The sequence below is a fragment of the Homo sapiens genome, chromosome 13 (assembly GCF_000001405.40).
Source record: "Homo sapiens chromosome 13, GRCh38.p14 Primary Assembly".
In the NCBI taxonomy this organism is placed as follows: Eukaryota; Metazoa; Chordata; class Mammalia; order Primates; family Hominidae; genus Homo; species Homo sapiens.
Window position 1 is genome coordinate 112376342 of NC_000013.11, and position 24309 is coordinate 112400650.

Consider the following 24309-nt stretch of genomic DNA (forward strand, 5'->3'; position numbering starts at 1 on the left):
ACTGTCAACCTTCAGAACGTCCTTCTCCCTCAGCTGGAGGGAGCATGGCAGTGAGCCAAGGAGACGGGACCCTCTGCTTTGTCCTCCTGCTGTGCTGTTGGCAAGAAACTGAGCTCCGGCCGAGAACCGTGATTCCAGGTAGGGCCCCACAGGGATGTCTCAGCAGAAAGAGAACTGAACCAGGTGGGGAGCGGCGGCCTCTTCTCCCATGGGTTCCTCTTATTCCCAACCTACATGAATTTACCATTTATTCCTTGGGGAATGAATGTAGCTGAAAAGTCTTTCTATCTTTGAAGACTTTTTAAAATCTAGATGTCCATAGGAAAGTTGCAAATGTTACTTATTTTAACTTTTTATTATGGAAAATTTCTAACTGGGAAGAATATCATGAACCTTCGTGTATTCACCCTCAGGTTCAATTATTGTGCATATTTTGTTTTTTTCTACACACACACACATACACACTCCACACCACATACACACACTTTTCTTGTTTGGGGAGTATTTTAGCACCATCCCAGATGCCTTACCACCTCATGTAAAACATTTTCTTGCGAAGAGATAAAAGCATTATCTACAATGTCATAATCAGACTAACATAATTACCAAAAGCCTTTATCTCAGCTCATACCGTTAAAAAATATTTGTGATGCTTGCTAAAGATGGGCAGGCAGCCTTTATTCAAAGGGGGCTACTACCATGGTGTCTCATAATAGTGGAGAGTGGGCTCAACTCCAAATACAGGGAAAGTGGAGATTTGCAGCCAAGGATCAGGGTGGGTCAGTGGATGAACATTGCTAAAAGGTAGGAGAATTCTTTGCTAAACTGATTCAGCAAAGGCCAAGAGGGCTTTTATAAACAAAAATGAAGCATTTATATTTTTTGTCCCACCTGATTACTCTAGAATTTGGATATTATGATTTTCAGGACCATACAATTGTTTGCATAAGTTTAATAAAAATTGATTATCCTTGCAACAGGACACAAAGGTCTGCTATCTTTGAAGACCTTTTAAAATCTAGACATCCATGAGAGAGTTGCATATGTTACTTATTTTAACTTTTTATTATGGAAAATTTCTAACTTGGAAGAATATCATGAACCTCCATGTATTCACCCTCTAGTTCAATTATTGTGTATATTGTGTTCGGCCAAACAGGAGGCCAGACCTGAAAGGAAGCCAAGGCAATAAAATAATCAAAGATGGAGGGTGAGGAATTTGATCAGATATCAAGGGTGACCAGGCCAAGACTAGGGGATTTCCACTAAAAGACTTCACAGGATTCCTACTAAACATGGGGAAAAGCAGACAAAAGCAGAAGCTAGGGTCAAGGCCTAGTCAAAGAGAAGACTCAGAGGAGCCTGGCATGAGGTAAGTCAAGGAGCGAGGCTTTCTCATTCCCTCCTCTTGTTCAAGAAAGAAGAGACATTCCTTTTCTCTTTGAACAAGATAAGTCCATGTTTCATCTGGTGGAGGATGTGTGCTGGATGGTACAAGTAGTCGGGAATTTAATGAGGGGAATGTCTACGAAAAAGAGAAGAAAAACAAAGATTTATAGTTGGAAACACAGTTTCCGAATCCAGAGGGCAGTCTGTTGAGAAGATTTCTGGATTTTGGGCTCAAGGTATCTTCAGCCGATGGGGCAAGGATGGATTTCCTAGTTTGCAGGGGGTGTGTCCTTGGTGACATCATGACCATCAGAGCCACAGTCATGGTTATGCTGGGGGCAGAGCGTGGATGTGTCCAGCTTCAGCCTTTCCAGATGGTCCCACGGAAGGCCTGAGTTGTCAGGCTTTAGTTCTCACTAACACCCAGTCAGGAGGGCAGAAGAAAGACTGGAAATGTTAGCCTGGGAACATTGAAGGACTCTAAAAGGCTTCAGGATCCAGTCCAGTTTACAGGTAGATAACAAAGTAGAAAGTAAGGTGGAGTTTATCAAAAGATAAAAAAAAGTAGAATACACAGGGTTATAACTCACAAGGGTGTGCTACCATTTTTCATTAAAACATAAAATATGGCTCTATGGTCACCCTCTTTTTTTGATCAAGATAACCAAAGTAATGCTATTCTTGTCTCAAAAATATATCACATCTTACAAGATTTGGTCTGATTATTTACATAAGTGCAGCAAGAATGGTAATGGACCACATAAACTGAGTTTTCTCTGCTGGAGCTTTTTACAAGGAATCTCAGATTAGATTTTTTAAAAGCTTTTTGAGGCTAGGAAGCCCAGCCAAAAACTCACCATCAGACTTCACATGTGGTACCTAAAGACTTGGGTGAATTTCTCTCTTCCGAAGGTCTCGAGGTTCCCAAAGTTCCTGGATCTGCCAGCAAATGACCTTCTTCACTCACCTGTGGGATGGGGACCCGGTGAGCCAGGTAGCAGGTCAGTTTCTCCAGCTCCATCAAATCAACCTCAGTTTTTAAAAACTGTCTGGTCACCTCTGATTCTATGTATCAATCTCAAATATGACATTCCAGTCAAAGCCTTGGTAATATGACCAATGTTTCCAATCGTGTCCTGTTGCAAGGAGAATCAATTTTTATTAAACTTACGCAAACAATTGTATGGTCCTGAAAATCATAATATCCAAATTCTAGAGTAATCAGGTGGGACAAAAAATATAAATGCTTCATTTTTGTTTATGAAAGTGTAATTACCAAATTGTTGTCCGTTATGCGTAGCCTAAGAGAAACCGGAAGCAGAGAGTTCTTTAAATCTGGAAAACAAAACATTAAAAAACCAGAAACATTTCCAAGAAAATTCAGAAAAATTATAATCGTCCCCACATTGAGTCCCACATCATTAATTCTTGTTCTACTTGATCTTGGGTTAGCAGGTTTACAAATCCGTCAATGTCTCCCTGAGTTCTGGAAAAGTCCAGTCTAATAGTGCAATCTTAGAGGCGTCAGAAACCTTACTCCAGAGTACTTGGCAGAGTCTTACCTAAAAATCTCCTTGAAGACAAAGAATTTTTGGACTGTAGCTGATTGCAAAAGCTTTCAAAAAAGCATCAGAGTAAAACAATAATTGTCTTGAATGACAAAAGACATAAAATGCATAAAATGGCCATGGTTAAAAATCTGATGAGAGTTCATTATGCTGCAATTGACAAGGAAATTTGGTTGTTTCTGTGACATACAACATTACAAGACAATAACGGAAATTAGGACTCATAACTTTATACCAGGACATATCATGGACAGTAAGGACAGTGAAAATTTCTAGGAATTTAATACAATTTCTGAAACACTTATAACATATATGCATACAAATATAAAGAAGGTTAAACATCCCTTATTTGACAATGCTTTTTACGAATTTAATGTATCAAATAAAGCTAATTAGTTTAACATCTTTCTTTTCACCAAGTGAGAGAACAAATCCTTTGAGATTTTCTAGTGGCCCTCTGGGAAATCTCAAAATTAGTTTGAGGTCAAAATTCTTCATTTAGAATTTTACTTGGATGAAGTTGTCAAAAATTATAAAAGTTTTGAATATTTGGTTAAATAGGATCATAAGTTACTATGAAATGGTAGCTATCCATTTAAGTTAAATGACAGTAAAGAATTTTTAAAGAAAATATAGGAAGTAGCATGGTTTTTAAAACAATTTAGCTCTTTTAATATTGAGGAGACTCAGTTTTCTTAAGTAATCAAAAACATGATAAAGAAAACATGAAACACAGGAAATATTTGATAAGACACAGAATCTTTGTTTCCTAGTAAGACTACTCAACAGGTAAGAAACAAGTACCTCTTACAATCTCTTATTAAGAACAGACCAGGCCTGGCGTGGTGGCTCATGCCTGTAATCCCAGCACTTTGGGAGGCCAACATGGGCGGATAATCTGATGTCAGTATTTCAAGATCAGTCTGACCAACATGGTGAAACCCCATCTCTACAAAATTAGCCAGACATGGTGGTGCATGCCTGTAACCCCAGCTACTTGGGAGGCTGAGGCAGGAGAATCACTTGGACCCAGGAAGTGGAGGTTGCAGTGAGCCAAGATCACGCCATTGCACTCCAGCCTAGGCAACAAGAGCAAAACTCAGTCTCAAAAAAAAAAAAAAAAAAAAAACCAGACCAATAATTCAACAAAACTTTGGCCTTTTAGCAGACAGAGAAAATCAAACTCCAGTACTGCATTGCTACACTCTTGATACTAAAGCTCATCTATAAAATCTTATAATAAAATTCATTTACTGCTAGTGTATCTTCACCACATAAGATTTTTCTCTCTCTTTTTTTCTCAGAGACTCGTTACATCTTTCCATACTAATTTACGCATTTTGTCCGGTTTTTTCTCTTCCTGAAAAAACAAATTTTAAACCACTGTAGGACAAAATTACTCACTTTTTTCGTCAACAAAAACACATTCTTCATATCACATAAGCTTTCTTATCAAAAACAGATCTTACTTTCCTTTATACTTTGCACAGGAAGTTGTTTTTCTTCACCCTCATTATTTCCAATAGTTTTAATTACACATGTTGATTATGTTGATTACAATGTTCAACAGAGAAAACTAGGAGTAGACAGTTGTGAATTGTGTCACATATAGCATTCTGTAACAAAGTAGCAAATTGTATGACTATACCATCTTACAATTTTTAGAGATATATTTATCTACAGCATAATTTTTCAAGGTGGCAAAAACAACTTTTGTTAACAGACTCAAATACATTTAGTCTCTCTGTATCATATAAAATAAGAAAACTTTGCTTAGTACTGAGTGTTTCAATAGCTTATCTTATTTAAAAATTATTAATGAAACTCTTGTTTTACTTAACTGATCATGACGCCAGGGTGATGAGTCACCAAAAAGATGTTTAGAAACTGTTTTTAAAAGGCAAACACAGGTTGGGTGCAGTGGCTCATACCTCTAATCCCAGCACTTTGGGAGGTTAAAGCTGGTGGATCACTTGAGCCCAGGAATTTAAAACCAGCCTGGGAAATATGGTGAAACCCCATCTCTACCAAAAAAAATGCAGAAATTAGCAGGGTGTGGTGGCATGTGTCTATAGTTCTGGCTGCTTGGGAGGCTCAGATGGGAGGATCACCTGAGCCCAAGAGGTCGAGGCTGCAGTGAGTCATGATCACACCCCTGCACTCCAGCCTGGCTGACAGAATGAGACCCTGTCCCCCAAAAAAAAAAAAAAAAATGCAGACACGCTATTGTAACTGCCCAAGGGGTTCACTTGCCCCCTGCCCAGGCAGAGCCAATTCTTCAAGACAGGGGAACTGCGATAGAGAAAGAGTAATTCACGCAGAGCCAGCTGTGCAGGAGACCAGAGTTTTATTATTACTCAAATCAGTCTCCCCAGGCATTCGGGAAACAGAGTTTTTACGGATAACTTTGTGGGTGGAGGGAAGCCAGTGAGGCAAGAGTGCTGACTGATCAGGGATGAAATCACAGGGAGTCAAAGCTGTCTTTTTGCACTGAGTCAGTTCCCGGGTGGGGGCCACAAGATCAGATGAGCCACTTTATCCATCTGGGTGGTGCCGGCTGATCCATCAAGGGCAGGATCTGCAAAATATCTCAAGCACTGATCTTAGGAGCAGTTTAGAGAAGGTCAGAATCTTGTGGCCTCCAGCTGCATAACTCTAAACCATATAATTTCTAATCTTGGGGCTAATGTTAGCCCTACAAAAGCAATCTAGACCCCAGGCAAGAAGGAGGACTGCTTTGGGAAAGAGCTGTTACCGTCTTTGTTTAAACTATAAACTAGGTTTCTCCCAAGGTTAGTTCAGCCTACGCCCAGGAGTAAACAAGGACAGATTGGATGTTAGAAGCAAGAGGGAGTCAGTTAAGCTGGAGCTCTTTCACTGTCTCAGTCATAATCTTGCAAACGTGGTTTCAATCTCTCCCTTTGGGTTTTATAGCACCTTAATCTTTTTTGTTGTTTTGTTTTGTTTTGTTTTTGACAGAGTCTCACTCTGTTGCCAGACTGGAGTGCAGAGGCGCCTCTCGATTTCTTGACCTCATGGTCCGCCCGCCTCAGCCTCCCAAAGTGCTGGGACTACAGGCATGAGCCACCGTGCCTGGCCAATAACACCTTAATCTTCAGGTGCAGGCTGTGAAGATGGGAAAAGGCTGTCAATGCTCTGGCTTCTTCCCACTGACAGGGGACGTAGTGGGAATGGGAATGAACCCCAAGGTGAGAACAGTGGAACCGTTTTGCAACTATCTGGGCGACACATGCAGGCCTGGCTGGGCTTCCAAGGCTTGTGTGGTAAAAACATTATTACCTTTATCTATAGTTTTAGTACAGTATTTAAGTAAACAGCATACTATAGGTAAATAATGAGTCCTAGGATAAGGAGCACAATTTTTAATTTTAAAAGCAAAGATTTGAGGCCAGGTGCGGTGGCTTACACCTGTAATCCCAGCACTTTTGGAGACTGAGGCAGGTGGATCACCTGAGGTCAGGAGTTCGAGACCAGCCTGGCCAACATGGTGATACCCTGTCTCTACTAAAAACACAAAAAATTAGCCAGGCATGGTGGCAGGTGCCTGTAATCCCAGCTACTAGGGAGGCTGAGGCAGGAGAATCAGTTGAACCTGGGAGGCAGCAGTTGCAGTAAGCTGAGATCGAGCTATTGCACTCCAGCCTGGGCAACAAGAGTGAAACTCCGTCTAAAAAGAGAGAGAGAGAAAGACAGAAGGAAAGAAAGAAAGAGAGAGAGAGAGAAAGACAGAAGGAAAGAAAGAGACAGAAAGAGAAAGAAAGAAAAAGAAAGAAAGAAAGAAGAAAGAAAAGAAAAGAAAAGAAAAGAAAGAAAGAAAGAAAGAAAGAAAGAAAGAAAGAAAGAAAGAAAGAAAGAAAGAAAGAAAGAAAGAAAGAAAAGAAAGAAAGAAAGGAAAGAAGGAAGAAAGAAAGACTGAAAAAGATTTAAAAGCATTAGTTTGGGGATTCTAACTCATAAAGAATTTATAATTTAGTCTAAACTGCCCAAAAAAACCTTAAGAAGCACTAACAGCAATGTACTATAGGTTTTTTGGAAGCATAATTTTTCTCTCTCCAGTCCCTATTTTTTAAAGAAAAACAAATCATGATAGAAATTATTTACAGTTTACAAAATAAACTTTACTCTTATAGTACTTGGCTTGATTATTTGCATGAAGTACAACTAGAATAATTATTTTTCACTTAGATTTTAATGGGCTTTGATGGAACTTTGTTCCATGAAGAATTTTAGATAAGACTTTTTAAAAGCCGAGCCCAGCCATGGATTTGTAAGCTTAAATACCTATGAGTTGAGCAAATTCCTCTTTTCTTGAGGTCCCAAGATATCTTGCAGTTCCTGGGCCTGTTAGAAAGTGACATTTTTTATTTAGCACAGGTCAGGAACCTTGTACAGGGACTCTGTGTGGACAAGGCATGAGGCCAGATTTCCCAACGGGCTTTAATTGGCTTTATAAGTTAACTTTGATTCTTTAAAGAAGCATGCCAGTCCAGTTAAAGCCTTGGTAAAATGACCAATTTCTCCAATTTTGTCCTGTTACAAAAGAAAACAGATTTTTATTGCACTTATGCAATTAACTATACTGCCATAAATTGAGAATACTTAGAAATAGTTTTCAAATTTTGGAGAAATCAGGTAGAGAGAAACAAATATGTTGTAAATTTTGTTCACAGGAGTATATTTTACTCACTTGTTAAAAGTTGCAAATAGCTTTAAAGAAATAAGTTATCTTGACTTGGAAAACAAAAGGTTTAGCAATGTTTAATACATTAGTTTTCCATAAGAGTTCTAAAGTTTGGGTTTTTTCTTTATTCCAATAACATAATTTTTAAAGTTATCTGAGACCTATACTTAGAGTTTTATATTTGATTATAAACTGCCTTTTGAAAAGGACTAAAGCAAGACAAAATGTTTGTGGATGACAAAAGAATTAGTATAGCCACTATTAAAGACACAGTTGACAAGGAAATTTGTTACCTCTGTATCACACAGTCATTTAACATAATAATTAAAATTATTACTGATAACATATACTAAGTTATATTAGAATTATAGGAGTTTTACATAATTTTGGAACATATATTAATAACACATTTACACAAATATAGCCCAAAGAAAGCCAAACACCATTTTGTATTTGACAATGTTTCCTGTATGGTTTTTATACCAAATAAGCCAAATGTCATTTCTGGACTTTAAAGGACCTAATATTTAAATATTAGGTTAGAAATAGACAAAATTTATAATTTGATTTTGGAACGTTTGTCAAATAGCAAAGGTTTAAAACACTGGATATCACAAAATAGAATCCCATGTCATTATAATAAGTCATTTATTTAGCCAAAATGATAACTTCAAAATCTTAAAAGAAAAACCTTTACTCTGATAGAGGACACTTAGCTTTCCAAACAAGACCCAATAAAGACAGCATGAGGCTAACTGACCTTGTCTCTTCTCTCTCCTCCCTTTTTTCCCTGTCATTTACCCAAAGGAGAAAACAAAACTCTTTCATTATATTTTAACATTACATAAAATTTGTCTTCAAAAGAGAAAACCAAATTTCATGTATGTATTGGTGCATTTTTAATGTTGAAGCTAGTTTATCAAATAAAATTTTATATCTCTATCAGGTTTTAATTAGTTTGACCATAAGGTAAGATTTTTATAAACTTTTAGAAACCTTTACAATTTTCCATCAAAGAGCAGATTAATTTTCTAAGAAAACCCTATTATTCGGACACATGGGCCCAAATTCTGGCCCCACATCAGTATGATTTTAATATTTTAGCCTACAGAAAAAAGCTAATTAAATCTCAGCCAACTTGTTTAAACCCACAGAATTTTGTATAAGATTAACCCTTTACAAACCCTTTTCACTTTGCTTAAACCTTTAGTTTTGTCCCATTACTCTTTTAGGTTAAGACAATCTTTAAAACTCTCTGAACTAGACAAAATTGCATTCCCTTTAACAAAAGCCATATTCCTATGCCTTCTTATAATCTTCTACCAAAAACACGTTCCCTACACATCTTGTATATAAAACTGTTTCTCCAGTAATCTTAATTTTATGTTATAATGTTAATTCTTAGCAACTTTTATTTTTAGTGAAAAACCTGGTAAGTAAGCTATTTTAATTATGTACTAGGGGTGCAGCCTAGGACATGAGACACAAATGAAGATAAGGTCTGACTCTTTTCAGCATAGCTAGCGGCATGCCTCTCCACATGTCTCCAGGCCTTATCTATAATCTAATGCTTCAAAGTAGGTAAATTGAACAATTTTTAAAAGTCAAGGAAATAGTTTGACCTTAAAACATTTAGCAAATCTGATATTTGACCTTAATTTAGACCAAATGTCTACATTTTTAAAATATTTTATTTTACTAATAATTTTTAAAACTGCTTTTATTTCTAAAAGATTACTGGTCACGTGAACAAAAATGCATTAAAGTTTCTACTTTTCTGACAAAACATTTGATTTAAGTGCTTATTTTTTAAGTCAATTAATCAGAGTGCTTTTATATATAAACAAGCATACAACACATATAAATAGACAGACAAAAGATTCAGCACTTGTAAGATTTTTCATTGGCCAGTTTTTTAATTGGATGACTGGCTTCAGGGTGGAGCCCTTGGAGGAACGGAGCTGGGAAAGCATGAAACTTCTAGGGCCTAATAAGCAGGCAGAGCTGGATGGCAAAGACAGATCCCTAAAATTAAGGGTGCCATTTTATACTGAACACTGGATCCCCAAAAGGAGAAAAGTACTACGGGAGAAGACAGTGCAATGCTTCTACTGCGCATTTTATTGCGAGGCAACCCAAAGCCAGTCAGCCCATGTTGTAATTAGACCATCCCCCATGGGAGTCCCATCTGTCAGTGGGGGTGGGGATGTTTCCCTATCTTCCAGATGCCCAAGAGCATGCATCTCTGATCCAAGTAGGCAAAGAGTCAAGTATTCCTCCTTAACTACTATTAGCCACCCCTTAAAGTAGATTTCCTACCTAGTTATTACACACCAAAGCTTTTTTATACTGCGAAGTAGTTTCTGATACCCCCAAAACTCAAAACTGTCAGATGACACAATGCAAAACAGAACATAGCCTTTTATTTTGAGAGGGATTTATCCACTTTTAATTCCTGGGGTTTCATGAGGAAAACAGAGTCTTTTTTTGTTTGTTTTTTGGTGTTTGTTTGCAAAACAGAGTCTGTGGTGCCTCCTCTGTTTTTCCCAAGGAGTCCCCGGCTACCAGAAGTTATCTTAGGGCCTCTCATGTGTGCCTTAAGGGTGACGAGACAAAAAAAAATGGAGACAAATAGTACAGTTGACTGAGAAGAAAAATAAACTTTTTCCAGAAAAACAAGATCCAAGAAGAGAAAAACATAAAGGCCTTTTAAATACATCTATACCTTGTTTATCCACTTTTAATTAACCTGACTTTTAACCATGGTGCTCTTTAAAAAAGAAATCCCTTCAAATCTCTTATTACCTGACTTTAGCCAGGCCAAGTGGCTAATATTTTTAGCTTCTGAACTTTACCAAAGGTAACCTCCTAGGTGTTTCAAAAACATGGTAAGAAGTTTCTTTCTTTACAAGATTTAGAATCTCCACAAGTTCAGAGAAAGGAAAATTCAAGAGAGGAAATCAGAAGCTATCTATGAGGGAAAAAACCTCAATAAATGGCAAAATTACATAAATAAGAAATCAGAAAGGAATCATTACAGAAACCAAGACTAGAACCCAGGCCACCATTGTCAAAAAGCAAAGTCTTAGCTACTGAGTTACAGCATTGAGCAGTTTCTATTGCTCTTTCCAGAAGGAGTCTAGAGAACCAGTTTCAAGCTCGCAAAGGCTTTTAACTGCTTAAGAAAATGTTTAGGGCTAACTAGGACATGAATCCCCTAATTCCTGTCTTCTAGATGGTGAAACCAAGGGAAAGTAACTGCACATGATCACAAGGTTAAGCTCTTAAGGACACAAAACAAGACAGAAAAATTTCATCCAGTATTGGTTTCAGGGACCCACAGCAAAGTTTGTAACTGACCAGCCTGCCAGTCTGGCTTGAAAAGCAGGCTTGAAAGTGAGTCCTAAACCCACATTCTATCCTGTGATACTTCTTTCTCCATTACAGAACACAGAAAGACAAATTCTTAGCACAAAGTACACCAGATTTGCTACCACCTAAGACTAGTTTCACAAATCCTTTCTCCATTAATTAAACCCTTGCAGAGAGACAAATAGTTTACCATTTACTCAGAGAAAGAGAGAGACCAGAAATTTGGCTGGTAAGAATTTCTTATCCTTTTTATCGGCATACCAGGCTTGCGGGCTCCCTTTCTATGCAGATTTCAGAAGAACGGAGTGGTTTCTGATGACCCTGCTCACTGCACCATAGCTGTGGGGTTCAAGCCACTTTACAAGAGAAAATCACCATTTCCTGTTTTATGGAACCATAGGCAAGATTCTTAATTTGCAAGATGCTGCCCAGTGGGCTGCAAGGAGAACGGAATTAACATTTTCTATGCCAGCAAAACACACATAAGAAAACAAACATTGGTCACCTCGTTCAGCACCCAATGTCAACCTGGCAAAGCTCAAACATTTTCCCATTGGTCCCTGTTTTCTTTGATCCACTCCAGGTGGTGATGGACAACCTCTGAATGGTAATTCACAATGAGATCTCTGGGCAAGGCGAAGACAGGCCTATTGAGCCTTCTCTAGGGCTCATCAAATGTGACCAGACAAATAAGGAGGGTTCTGAGTTAGGCCTGCTGGACTTCCATCAGCAACCCCTTCGGAGATCCCTTCCACATACACAAACACACATTAAGATGAGATGGACAGAAGGCCTTCCAAATCAGATCCCCAACTAAGAACTCCAAGAGTATCCCTTTCAAACTATCCTCCTATTCTCCATCTGGGAAACCTCCTCAAAATCTTCCTGAGTGAGAAGTCTCCCAAACCAGGAATCTTCCTACTAGTTAGAAAGAGCCAGCCGAGACCCCCGAGGAGCCAAACAGACACACTACAGTGGGGCTACAGACAGATACCCTACCATGGGGCTACAGACAGACACTCTGATAGGGCTACAGTTAAGGGACGTTTCCCCAGACCTACTTCTCCATTGCAATTAAATCCATGCAAATTGGGTTGGCAGTGCCCCGCCAGTAGAGAGAGTACCAGAGTCAGCCCCTAGTCCAAGAGAACTAGGAAGCTGCTTGGGCTGGCTGGCTTCTGGATCCATTGTTGAAGGGGGGCCACTGAACCATGGGTGGATATCCAAAAAGGCAGTATTGTACAAGCCCCCAAATTTGTAACCACCCAAGGGGTTCACTTTGCCCCCTGCCTAGGCAGAGCCAATTCGTCACAACAGGGGAAATGCAATAGAGAAAGAGTAATTCACCCAGAGCCAGCTGTGCAGGAGACCAGAGTTTTTTTATTACTCAAATCAGTCTCCCCAAGCATTCGGGAAACAGAGTTTTTAAAGATAACTTGGTGGGTGGGGGGAAGCCAGTGAGCCAGGAGTGCTGATTGGTCAGAGATCAAATCATAGGGAGTCAAAGCTGTCTTTTTGCACTAAGTCAGTTCCTGGGTGGGGGCCACAAGATCAGATGAGCCACTTTATCCATCTGGGTGGTGCCAGCTGATCCATCAAGTGCAGGTTCTGCAAAATATCTCAAGCACTGATCTTAGGAGCAGTTTAGGGAGGGTCAGAATCTGGTAGCCTCCAGCTGCATGACTCCTAAACCATAATTTCTAATCTTATGGCTAATGTTAGTCTTACAAAGGCAGTCTAGTCCCCAAGCAAGAAGAAGTTTGCTTTGGGAAAGGGCTGTTACCGTCTTTGTTTATACTATAAACTATGAACCTTCTCCCATAGTTAGTTCGGCCTATGCTCAGGAATAAGCAAGGACAGCTTGGAGGTTAAAAGCATAATGGAGCCTGTTAAATCTCTTTCACTGTCTCAGTCATAATTTTACAAAGGTGGCTTCACTATAACACCAAATAAAGCTACCATCATCTCCAGTTATTTCCCTGTTAACTATTTTTAAGTTTATTTGGCTAGTAACCCAAGTAGAATAAAATTATGTCTGCATTATATCTATAGCTGACAATTCCAAAGACAAACTGTCTTTATTTAACAAACAGTCTCAAACTAGCTTTATATATCAACCATCCTAGTAATGTAAACTTAAAAAACATTTGGGTTAGCTCCTCTGTTTCTGGGAGTCCTGGGAATATTTAATCAAGCACATCTTTTTTCTCTAAGCCAATTTGAATAGAACTCCTTTAAGGAATTTTATAATTACTTCAGCAATACCATCCAGAGGTAGAAAAATATCACATATATGTAACATAGGTACATACACATACAGACAGACACATGAAAACAGTGATTGTATGGCTTCATTCTTAAATTTCAGCCATGAGTCCGGCAACACAGTAACACAAAACTCACTGGTTTATCTCCACTCTATATTTTTATCTGAATTATGTTTCTGATAAAAACGGGATATGTTGAGGTTACCCACTCAATAAGGGCTAAAGATTTTTCTTTCTTAACCAGCATTTGTGAAGGGGAGTTTCAAGCCTTTCTTTTCCCCTGATATTATTTAATCTCACAGAGGCTGTGATTGAAGCAGCCATCTGGATATATCAAAGCCTTCACTGAGTAGATAAAATGCCCCACCTGTTTCCAGTTGGTCTTTTTCCTTTTCAGCCTCAGATCAGGTAGTTGATCTGGGATTGTCTGGGTCCATAAAGCTCCAGGGACTGTTGGGAGTCAAGGGGCTGAGTGGGAAGAGAAGGGTGTAATGGGGGTGGGGGGAGGAGTGGAGGCCCAGGGGGACACATCCAGTGGTGCAAGAGGGCTAACGGAGATTAGATGGTGAGAAGAGAACTCGAGTGCAGAGACTACATCTAGGAGAGAACTCTGGGAGCCAGTGTGGGGAGATCTGGGCCATGGCCACTCTGTATGGTTTGCAAAGTCACGGCAAAAAGGAGAGGAGCAGAGCCAGTGCCACAGTGGGGCAGGTCAGGAGGGTTTTAGAAGGGGTTTCAGTAAACGGAAGAACCTTGCCCACGTGCAATTGAGCTCCATTCCTTTTCATGGGCATGTGTTCAAAAAATGGCAGTGTTAGCACAATCCGAGAGCAGCATTTTTGGCCCTCTGTATTAGTCAGTTCTTGCACTGCTATAGAGACATACCTGAGACTGGGTAATTTATGAAGAAAAGAGGTTTAATTGGTTCACTATTCTGTGAACTGTATAGGCTTCTGCTTCTGGGGAGGCCTCAGGAAACTTACAATCATGGCAGAAGGCAAAGGAGAAGCAAGTACATCTTACATGGCCAGCAGGAGGAACAGAGAGCGTGGGCAGGTGCTACGCACTTGTAAACAACGAAATCTCAGGAAAACTCACTATCACGAGAACAGCAAGGGGGACGCCAGCCCCCGTGATTCAGTCACCTCCCACCAGGCTCCTCCTCCAACACTAGGAATTACAATTCAACCTCAGATTTGAGTGGGGACATAAATCCAAACCATATCAGCCTCTGACATCCAAAGGTGAAGCAGAAGACAGGAAACCCTCACTGCGTGTCCTACATGGACTGGCCAGAGCCTCCATGGCCAGTGGTCTCTCACCAGGAAGGAATGCTGGGGGTGCTGCACTGTTTAAACCACAAAAGGGAGGAGAGTCTGGTCACAGACTTGGATGATTGGCTCAAGGAGACAAAGGAATAGGTCTTTCGTTTCTTGTTTTCCAGAGCTGGCTTCTTCTTACTCCTTAGGAAAGCATTCAGGTCACAGTTGTGTAAGGAATGGGTAAGAGAGAAAAAAGGTCAGAGTTTAGTCCTTACCTCCCAAGATCTGATTTCCTCATCCAAACAGTTGAAACAGGTGACCAAGGTCTTCCCCAGCTTGAAGACCAATTAAGGGATCATTTCTAAATCACTTTCTCACGAGGAACATTGGGTTTCCTTACTCTCCTTGGTCCTTAATGACTCAGTGGGCACTTCAGGCATTTGCCTCAGAAATTGAGTTGACCATGTTTTGTGGCTTTCTTGAGATGTTGGACCTTTAGGGAGAGAGGAGAGCAGTTAACGTGGTCCTAGTGATTGAGAAGGGTGCAGTGCTGTTTTCCCCAAATTAACCAGAATGAAGTCTCAGAACTCCACAGGGAACCCTTTCACGGAGGCCAGCGTGTGCACGATGTAAATATCGAGAAAGAGCAGTGGATTCTTACAATTACATGGCGTGCGGCACCTTAAAACCGTGAGGCTGAAGTCAGAGGTGACACATGAAGGATATGGCAAAGCCACTCCACTTGACAATGCACTTTAAAAACCGCACGGATGTTATAAAACCCAAATATTTTACTCCACATGCTTACTGGCTGACTTGCACAATACTTCCATTATAATTACGGGACAGACACAAAATGAAAAGAATATTTTTAACAAAGCACTTGCACGATGCAGCTGTACCCATTCTTAATGATCATTAATGTCTCATCCAAAGAGAACTGTACTTTGTTTGTTTCGTTTACCGAAGGTCAGCATACTGGGAAGCAATTGCCATCACATCTCAGACCTTTTTGCATATTTTCCCGCATTGTTCTGAGCCTGCATGTGCGCAGACGAGTCGATTGGTATGCAGATTGTCTGTCATTAAAGCCATTTGGAAATCAGCTTTGTCACTGGTTTAGTGTTGGAACTTCAGATCCTAGAAGCCACCACTGGAAAGCTCTGTGCACTCTGAAAGGGAAGGTGTGTGGCCCTGCTGAGCCCAACCTCGGGGCTGGAGGAAGAAGCTGACCTTGACCTTGAGCCAAAGCAATGCCCCAGGACGCTGAGACGCCACACCTCCAATAAAGAAAAACTGTGAATGGCAGAAGCAGGGAACTACTGGGAAGGGGCTAACAAGGAGAAAGCAGTGCTCAGAACCGCCACCCACTCTCAGGGTCACTCAGCACAGTCAGCTCCCATCAGTCAGGCAGCCGAGGCCACAGGTCAGGAGGCCACGGGGCCTGTGGACAACCCATATTCCAGACCTCGGCATTTCACCCACATGACCCCACCTCTTATCTGCAGATGGGACCACCCTGAAATCACTTTGCTTATGAAGGAGGAGAAAGGGGGGTGGCCCATCTCTCTGAGTCCTGCCCCTCCTAAAACAGAGCCATGAAGCCAGGTCTTCATGATGCAGCCACAGCATTGCACAATGTTTCCCATTTCCCCAGAACATGTTTCTAAGCCTCCAGGTGCATGCACTGTGGGCGCCTTTCACGAAGGAGGTCCAAATGCTGCTTTCACAAGAGGAACATGCCCTCTTACTCTGCTTACCTCAAAGCAGCTGGGTGAGCCCAGTCATCCTTGCGACCGGGATGTCGTCTTGACCTCTCAAGGGGTGATTCTAGGGACCAGGAGGGCAGGCTCAGCTCAGAGCTCCTGGACAATTGTCCTCCATCCTCACAGCCACCCCGGAGGTGGCTGTTTCTCCGCATTTTCCAGACAAGAAAGCCAAGTCCCAGAGAACTTTCCTGGGGCCATCTCTCATCACCCGCAGGAGAGACTGGAACTTGGGCAGGGCTCCTTCCTCTAGAGGGGGCTGGTGGGCACCCACAAAACCATATCCATTTAAAGAGAAAAATATGCAAATTCAATGAACATTGTTAAACTGTAGGGTTTTTATTTCCTTCTAGGTTCACCTACTGAAATACCATTCAGTTCAAAACAGGAGGATATGTCTGAATTATTAGGTAAGGAAGCCCCTCCTATCAACCTCTGGCCTGTACGTGAAGAGGGCTGGATGGTTGTCTGTGGCTGTTTCCCAGATAACCTGGTACCAACTGCAGACAGTGGAGGGAACTGATTGGTTTGGGGCTAGAATCATATACCAATGGCCCATAGCTTTACTGCTGACATCTAAGAGTCAAACTCTCAAGAAATTAAGGAAGACAGAATTTTAGACCATTACACCTAAAAAGTGCGTGGGAGCCTTGCTTCTCAAAGTGAGGTCCAAGGACCCTCAGCGTCTGCATCATCTGGTTTGGGGAGCTTGTTAGAAACGCCCAGCGGCAAGCCGGGCCCAGCCCTCCAGCACCAGCACCGCATTCAACCTGATGCCACCGATTCCTGTGCACCTGAGAGGCCCCATGGCTGAGCCGTCCCCTCCTCCACCGCCTCAGCCCTGCCAGCCCCCTGGAAAGATGGTGGAAACTACAGACCCCCTGGCCTCACCCCGGGGATGCAGGCCGTGCTGGTTTGGCTGAGCCTGGTGCCTCTGTGCTTCTCTAGGGCTCTGCAGGTGATGCTAAAGTACAGCCGGCTGAGAACCGCTGCCCTGGGCCAGGGCCGTCCAATAGAAACACAGCATGAGCCGAAGATGTGCTTTTCATTGTCTAGTGGCCACATTAAAAAGACACAGATGAGGCCAAAGCGGGCAGATCACGAGGTCAAGAGACAGAGACCATCCTGGCCAACATGGTGAAACCCCGCCTCTACTAAAAATACAAAAATTAGCTGGGCGTGGTGATGTGTGCCTGTAGTCCCAACCACTTGAGAGGCTGAGACAGGAGAATCCCTTGAACCCTGGAGGCAGAGGTTGCAGTAAGCTGAGATCGCAGCATTGCCCTCCTGCCTGGCAACAGAGCGAGACTCTGTCTCAAAAAAAAAAAAAAAGACACAGATGAAACTCATTGTAATAATATTTTATTTCACGTGATGATTTCAACATGGGATCAGTGTCAAATTACTAGTGAGATGTTTCAGTCTTTCCATCACACTGGCTCTCCACAGTTCCATGTGTCCTTTGCCTTCACGGCCATTTCCACGTGGACAGCCGCGCTCCAGGGTGTGAGCGCTTAGCCAGTGCCTGCACTTCTGCTCTGACCTCTCGTTTTACATGTGGGGAAACTGAGGCCCAGAATGCTGGGACTCAGAGCATGCAGTCCTGACCCCTGCTCACATCGATGCCCTTGGGAAACAGTCACCTCCCAGGACCTCTCTGCCAGCATTGCCTGTGGAGTGGGGTCGGGGTAGAGGATGGGGCCACCTTCCACCCGGCAGGGCCCGGGACTGCGGCTGTGAAGGCTGCACGGCCTCGAACAGGGGCTCCCGTGGGAACGCAGGGCCCCCAGGTGCTGGGCCCTTTCCAGGAGCTGTCGCTGTCAGAAGTCAGGCTTTGCTCCCTTTCCACATCTGGGTGGGAGAGGCCTGGGAAAAGCTCTGCCTGCCTGCGTGTTTGATGGGTTAGGTGGATGGATGAGTGAGCGCTCCAGTGAATGAATGGATGTTCCCATTCTCGCTCCTGCCGCCCCGTCCACTTTCTGGGTACTCAAGGGAACTGCCCCAGGCAGGAGTTAGACTCCCCAAGGTCAAGGAATGGCTGTGACTGGACTCACTTTCCTAGTGAAGCTGGCGGGTGCCAGATTCTGAGAGTTTTAGTCCTGAGACCAGCACCTGCTCCAGCCAGTGTCTCAGCCACCCCCAGAGAAACAGTGGCCTCAGAAAAGGATTCTGGAAGAGGAAAGAGTGGCTGGCGTTTCTGATATTTTTCCTGGGTCCTGACCAACTAAACCTAGAAGGAAGCAGCAGCTCTTACCCCCATCCACACCCCCAGATTTCTTCTAGGTAGAAAGCTGAAAGCATTGACAGTGAGAATTCAAATCCCTGTGGAGGTCAGCGAAGCCCACCCAGGCAGGCCAGGCCGAGACTCTCTGTCCAGAGCTTGCTGTGGGAGGGCAGTCACCACCATCACGTGCAATGTCAAAGCCTCCGAGTCACCATCACGTGCAATTTCAGAGCCTCTGAGTCAGGCAGGGGATGGGGCCTCACTAAGGCAAAGGAAGCCCAGGTCCCGTGCAGGCTGCAGCTGGGTGTGCTGGGGATGGCTCATCAGACGGGCGGTGAGGGGTTGGTGAGGGAGCATGTGTGGCTTTCTCTGGTCGGCTCCGAATTGGAAGCGAGGACAAAAGCCAGAGGAGCTGTCGATGATGGATGCATTCCTGGCCCTCTGGGGCCGGCTGGTCCAGGGGTTGCGCTTCGGCTGCCTGAGTCGTTGCTAGAGGAGGTCTGACTTCCTGCAGGTCTTACTGCGGAGCAGGCCAGCCCCCCGGACTGGCTGCTGCAGGTGTGGTTGGCTCTGTTTCTGTTTTTTGTTTTTTTTGAGATGGAGTCTCACACTCTTGCCACCCAGGGTGAAGTGCAGTGGCGAGATCTCAACTCACTGCAACCTCCACCTTCTGGGTTCAAGCGATTCTCCTGCCTCAGCCTCCCGAGTAGCTGGGATTTCAGATGTGCACCACCTCACCCAGCTAATTTTTGCATTTTTAGTAGGACAGGGTTTCACCATATTGGCCAGGCTGGTCTCAAAGTCCTAACCTCAGGTGATCTGCCCACCTCGGCCTCCCAGTGCGCTGGGATTACAGGAGTGAGCCACTGCGCCCAGCCTGGCCACAGCTGTTTTGATGGATGGTCTGGTCATTGTATTTCAGCTTCTCCTCTCTCAAAAAATTCAACCATCAGCAGTTAGACTTGGTTTTAAAACAAAGAGCTTCCTAACCTTGTTCCACCTGCTGGCTTCATCTCTACCTAAAGCGTTTTTCTAGCCCTGACCAATCTCCCCGAGGGTAGGGAGGCCCGTGGAAGGGTCAAGGCAGCCTTTCGCCCTGGGCAGCTCACCCTGGGGTGGCTCGGCCCCCCGCCTCTCTTTGGCCCCCAAAGCCATGACTGCTCTCCGAGCAGGAACGCGCCTCCTCACAGCTGGGCCACCATCCACCCGCCTCAGGGAATCCCAGGGTGTCTGCAACTTGAGGAGTTTGGGTCCCCAGGAGGCCACTCCCGGCTTCGGGCATGGAGTGGACTGGGTCACACTGGGACAGGTCAGGGACTGTGGGTACAGTTGTTAGAGATGGAGAGTTGCAGAGACAGCCCATCCACCATGGACGGGGGTGATCCCCAGTAACAATGGGGCAACCGAAGCCAGAGTTGGCCAGGAAGTTCAGACAGTGCCCCAGGAGGGCTCACTTCTTAGGGCTGGTCAGCTGAATCCTATCCTCTGCCTGCCCCCATTTGCCCTGGGAGCCCATCTGCCCTTGGTGGAAGCTCTGTTACTGCTGACCTGCTGTGCCTGGTCACGGCTGTAGAATGCTGCCTCCTGGACATGGCTGGCTGGAATGGGGTAGAGACCAGGGACTGAGGCTGGGCCATCCTTGGCCCCCCAGTGCCTGTGCAGTGTCTGGTTCAGAAGAGTGCCCAGTAAATGCTTGCCATTCAAATGCATATCCACTCTTCTCCAAGACCCCTATCTCACTGGACACCATGACTGTTTAGGAACTTGGAATTCCTAAGATTGGTGCTTCTGTCCAATCACTGGCCCCAGAGGACAGAGCCTGAGTGGCAGCGCCCAGCCCCTTGGCTGGGATCCTGGGGCACCCGCGGCTAAGAGGCAGGTGGCACGCAGCTCTGGTCCGGCAGCTCCGCAATACAAGGCCATGTCCCTGAGGTTGTCCTGGCCTCTCCTCAAGCTCGTGCCTCATGATCAAGGATGGTGTCCACAGTGCCAGACACCTCGTCCACTCCCAGGGCAGGAGGCGGGGGTGCAGGCCTGGACACTGGTTCCCCTTTTATCAGGAGGAGCAAATTCCTCGCAGAGCTGGTAGACTCCTCCTACCTTACAGGCCTGTAGCCCACCCGGCTGCAGGGGGCCTCACTGGGGGCACACATTGCCAAAACCCAGCTCTGTGAGTGAGAAAGAGGGACAGCGCGGCTGCTGGGTGAGAAACCAAGAGCCCAGGACAAAGCTTTTTTATCGGTCGTATTGGTGACATCTTCGTTTCCAGTGGCATTTTCAGCCTCTTCCCCTTTACCCTCGAATTCTGCATGAGCTGGTCCTGGGGTGACCAGACGCCCGCTTTGCCTGGGGCTGAGGAGCTTCTTCTTGAGGGACTTTCTGGGCTAAACCCAGAGGGCCCCAGCAAACCAGGACCCACTGCCCAGCCCAGCACTGCAGCCTGGCCTGGTGACTGTGCTGCAGAGACAGCGGTGACTCTCGGTTGCCACAACACCTGGCCATGGCCCAGGCTCCGTGCTGAGCACCTTCTGCATACACTGCTTTATTGGACCCTCAGGAAAGCCCACAGGCAAATACACACCCCCATTTTACAGACAGGAAACCAAAGCTCAGAGCCGTGAGGACGCTTGTCCAAGATCACATTCTGGTGGGAGCAGAGCCCGTGTGTTTTTTCCGGGTCTGTCAGACACAAAGCTCAAGGCTCTCATGGTAAAATCTCCCTAGGAGAACCCATAGGGACGTAAAAGAAGAAAATGCGGCTGTGTTGACACAGAGATCAGGAGCGACGCTCACTCACACACGGAGGGCAGCTTTGGGAGAGCCTCAGAGATGGGACAGAGGGACCCAGGGCAGGAAAGAGACTTAGGACCACGTGTGGGCCAAGCGTCCAGCCTTGTACCTTTGGGGGGCAATGTTCAGTGTCCAAAATGTCCAAATGGTCTCAGTTTTTCTGAAATTATTGAGGGAGGCAGCGGCCTGCCCACCCAGAGAAGGTTCTTTCGAAAGTCAAGTCCCACATCCCCTGGGTTCCCGGAGTTCCTGTTTGTACAGGAACTGTGTGTACATTCACTGTGTGTACAGATGGCCTTAGGGGACAGGAGCCAAGGGCCAGCCCTGCAGGGCCGACTCTAACGTGATCTTGTGTGCTTCTCCCAAGATGAAATTCTGGTCCAGGAGATTTTAGATCTGAATAAAACAACACCGAGCGAAATGCCAAGTACAGCATCAACATTATCAACACCGTTACGTAAGGAGAAAAGCAAGCACACCCCTTTCTAACCCTCTAATTGCCCTTATTCCTGGAGGTCTGTGGTATGGAATACGTGACCCTATAATTTGAGCATTAAGACCAGCTATTTCTGGGGCAAGGGCACATGGAGATGTGAACAATATGGCATCTAAAACCATTTCTACAGCTTCCCGAGACAGAGGAAGTCAACCCTAGACTGGCAGGGTTAATTCCCTTTACTCTGGGATCTCTGGAGTGCGTGTTCAGGCACGTTCTCGCCCTCGGGAGCCACTGCAGGAACACAGGGCACAAGAACCTGAGAACCCTGCACTAACCAACACTTTACAGTTCCTCCCACACACGCCCATGCTCTCACTTCACGCTCACCCAAGGCTTCTGAGAGAGCAGGGCAGTTATCATCACCCCATTTGACAGAAGGTAAAACCAAGGTCTAGCAAATGACTTGCCCAAGCCACACAGTGAGTCATGAACCAACACAAAGAATGGCCTTCCCCAAGTGCAGCTTCACATGGTCAAAGACATATGCAAGGAAATAGAACAGCACATTTAGAACCAAGACAGAGTACTGAATCAACAGTTGCCAAGGAGAGAACTGGGAATCAGAAATCCCCACACAGTGCATGAAAGTGTATTCGGCAGCAGGAAAGTTCAGCACTCTTGAAATCTTGCACCCAGAATGTAAATTCCAGTTCCTAGGATTGGTTCACCTGCCATCTGCCAAGGTCCACACTGTTGGTTCAAGGGAGTCAGAGGGCACCTGACTCTGTTTACACCTTCACTTACCAACGCACATTTCCACATAGAGCTTGCAAACTGTATTAACATCCCAACCTTATATTGTAAAATAAAGCATGGGCCAAAAATGTTTATACCTGTGTAATCAAGAAAACTTTTCCCCATTTTTTTCCATGTTCTTCATTGAAGATGCTGGTATTGATGAGAATTATCAAGCTGGTGGTTCTGAGAATTACCATGAATTATTAGAGAATTTACAATTCTCTCCTGGCATTGAGGTCAAAATTTCCAATGATGGTAAATGCAACCCAGTAATTACCCCTTCCCAAGTCCAGCTGTAATGGGAGAGGTAGGAGGCAGGCAGACGCAGGCGGAAACATCTCCTTCCTGGAGGATAAACCCTTGGTGGGAGAATGTGCCCACTTCCCCTGGTTGGGCAGATCTCCCAGTCTCTGTCGGGGCTGAGGGACCCCCAGCTTCCTCACCCCCTGCTGTGGGGCCGACCCTGGAAAAAACACAGCCCAGGGAAGCACAGCAGAAATGTCTCATGGGCAGGCAGATGCCAAGACAGGGAGGCAGGTGCTGCCACAATGCCTGGCCCCCTCTCCCAAAGCTTCAGCTAAGTCACTTCTCCTTCACAGGGCAGGTGCAGAGAGAGCCAGAGTGCCCCCAGGGGGGTCCCCCAGAAGTAGGGAAAAGCCTCCCTCCAACAGATGAGTCTGCTGGGAAAAAAATCAGTGTGCAAAGGCTCAGAGGATAAGATACTTGGACCCCATGGAGGGGCAAAATACCTCCTCTTTACCCTGGAGATTCAAAACCAGAAAGGGCACATATATATACCCAGGTATATGAGTCCATTCTCACACTGCTACAACGAACTACCTGAGGCTGAGTAATTTATAAAGAAAAGAGGTTTAATTTGTTCATGGTTCTGCAGGCTGTGCATGAGGCATGGCTGGGAGCCCTCAGGAAACTTACAATCATGGCAGAAGACCCTAGAGGAAGCAAGTACATCTTCACATGGAGACAGGAGAGAGAGAGTGAAGGGGGAGGTGCCACACACTTATAACCAGACCTCATGAGAACTCACTATCATGAGAACAGCAAGGAGCAACTCTGCCCCCATGATCCAATCATCTCCCACCAGGTCCCTCCCCTAACACTGGGGATTACATTTAGACATGAGATTTGGTTGGGGACACAGAGCCAAACCATATCACTGGGACACACATGTAGGACATCTGTGGTGTTCCCCACACACAGGACCAGGTCACAGCTCCAGTATCTGATGGTGTGCCAGGAGCCAAGCATTTCTGTAGGAGCCCAGGAATCTGCATCCCAATCCATTACCCCAAAGAGTCCCCCCAATAAGACAGACTCTGGAGTTGGGAAAGATTGAACTCGATTTTTTCAGGACTTAAACAGGAATAAGATTTTATTTAAAATTAATATGAATACCTCCAAATTTGTCTGCCTGGTGGTCAGTGTGGTGTTTGCCAACTGGCGAGTTTCTCTTTCTGCCATTGCTTCTCCATTTATTAATTGGGATTCTGCTTTAAGAAAGAGCTGCCCCTCCTCCCCTGTTTATGTATTCGGTTGCTTATTACTGTCTACATGGGCTACTAGGGATTACTATAGTCTGTGGGTTATAAAACACTAACACCGTTACTGATTGTGAGCCAAGAACTGGATGCTTGCTAAGTTCAATGGCACAGCATTTCTTCCAGGCCCTCTCCACAGAAAGAGCTAGGAAACACTTCTGTGCAAATCACAG

At 44.5% G+C, this 24309-nt stretch overlaps 1 protein-coding gene and 1 long non-coding RNA gene across 12 annotated transcripts in view, besides 2 other annotated features; one reads left to right on the forward strand and one right to left on the reverse strand.

Moving 5' to 3' along the window:
* Window positions 1-13: 13 nt before the first annotated feature.
* The window catches only part of SPACA7 (sperm acrosome associated 7), a 58335-nt gene continuing 34039 nt past the window's right edge, over window positions 14-24309 (forward strand). For 2 of the 9 annotated variants that reach the window (XM_011537466.2, NM_145248.5), the window contains exons 1-4: window positions 14-138; window positions 16680-16736; window positions 21708-21797; window positions 22725-22832. In XM_011537466.2, coding sequence (XP_011535768.2) covers window positions 45-138; window positions 16680-16736; window positions 21708-21797; window positions 22725-22832 — 349 coding nt within the window. In that variant the 5' untranslated portion in view covers window positions 14-44. Of the gene's footprint in view, window positions 139-2301; window positions 2391-10894; window positions 11056-16679; window positions 16737-21707; window positions 21798-22724; window positions 22833-24309 lie in introns of all 9 variants that reach the window. The other 7 variants (XM_011537467.3, XM_024449318.2, XM_011537468.3 and 4 more) reach the window with 6 other exon arrangements.
* Window positions 1466-2665: an enhancer, noted in NCBI's record as "CDK7 strongly-dependent group 2 enhancer chr13:113032121-113033320 (GRCh37/hg19 assembly coordinates)". NCBI's record gives its function as "activates an origin of replication core promoter dependent on BRD2, BRD4, P300/CBP, MED14 and CDK7 cofactors, with strong dependence on CDK7, by STARR-seq in HCT116 cells {active_cell/tissue: HCT116}" and the evidence as "EXISTENCE:reporter gene assay evidence [ECO:0000049][PMID:35650434]".
* LOC105370372 (uncharacterized) overlaps window positions 2397-24309 on the reverse strand; it is a 97399-nt gene continuing 75486 nt past the window's right edge. For all 3 annotated transcript variants that reach the window (XR_944294.2, XR_944292.2, XR_001750036.1), the window contains 3 exons: window positions 14836-15053; window positions 2666-2724; window positions 2397-2525 (listed from right to left, as the gene is read on the reverse strand). This is a non-coding gene — a long non-coding RNA (uncharacterized LOC105370372). The remainder of the gene's footprint in view (window positions 2526-2665; window positions 2725-14835; window positions 15054-24309) is intronic.
* Window positions 15357-15887: an enhancer, noted in NCBI's record as "NANOG-H3K4me1 hESC enhancer chr13:113046012-113046542 (GRCh37/hg19 assembly coordinates)". NCBI's record gives its function as "activates a minimal SCP1, AML or CMV promoter by ChIP-STARR-seq in naive H9 embryonic stem cells {active_cell/tissue: H9 hESC(naive)}" and the evidence as "EXISTENCE:reporter gene assay evidence [ECO:0000049][PMID:30033119]".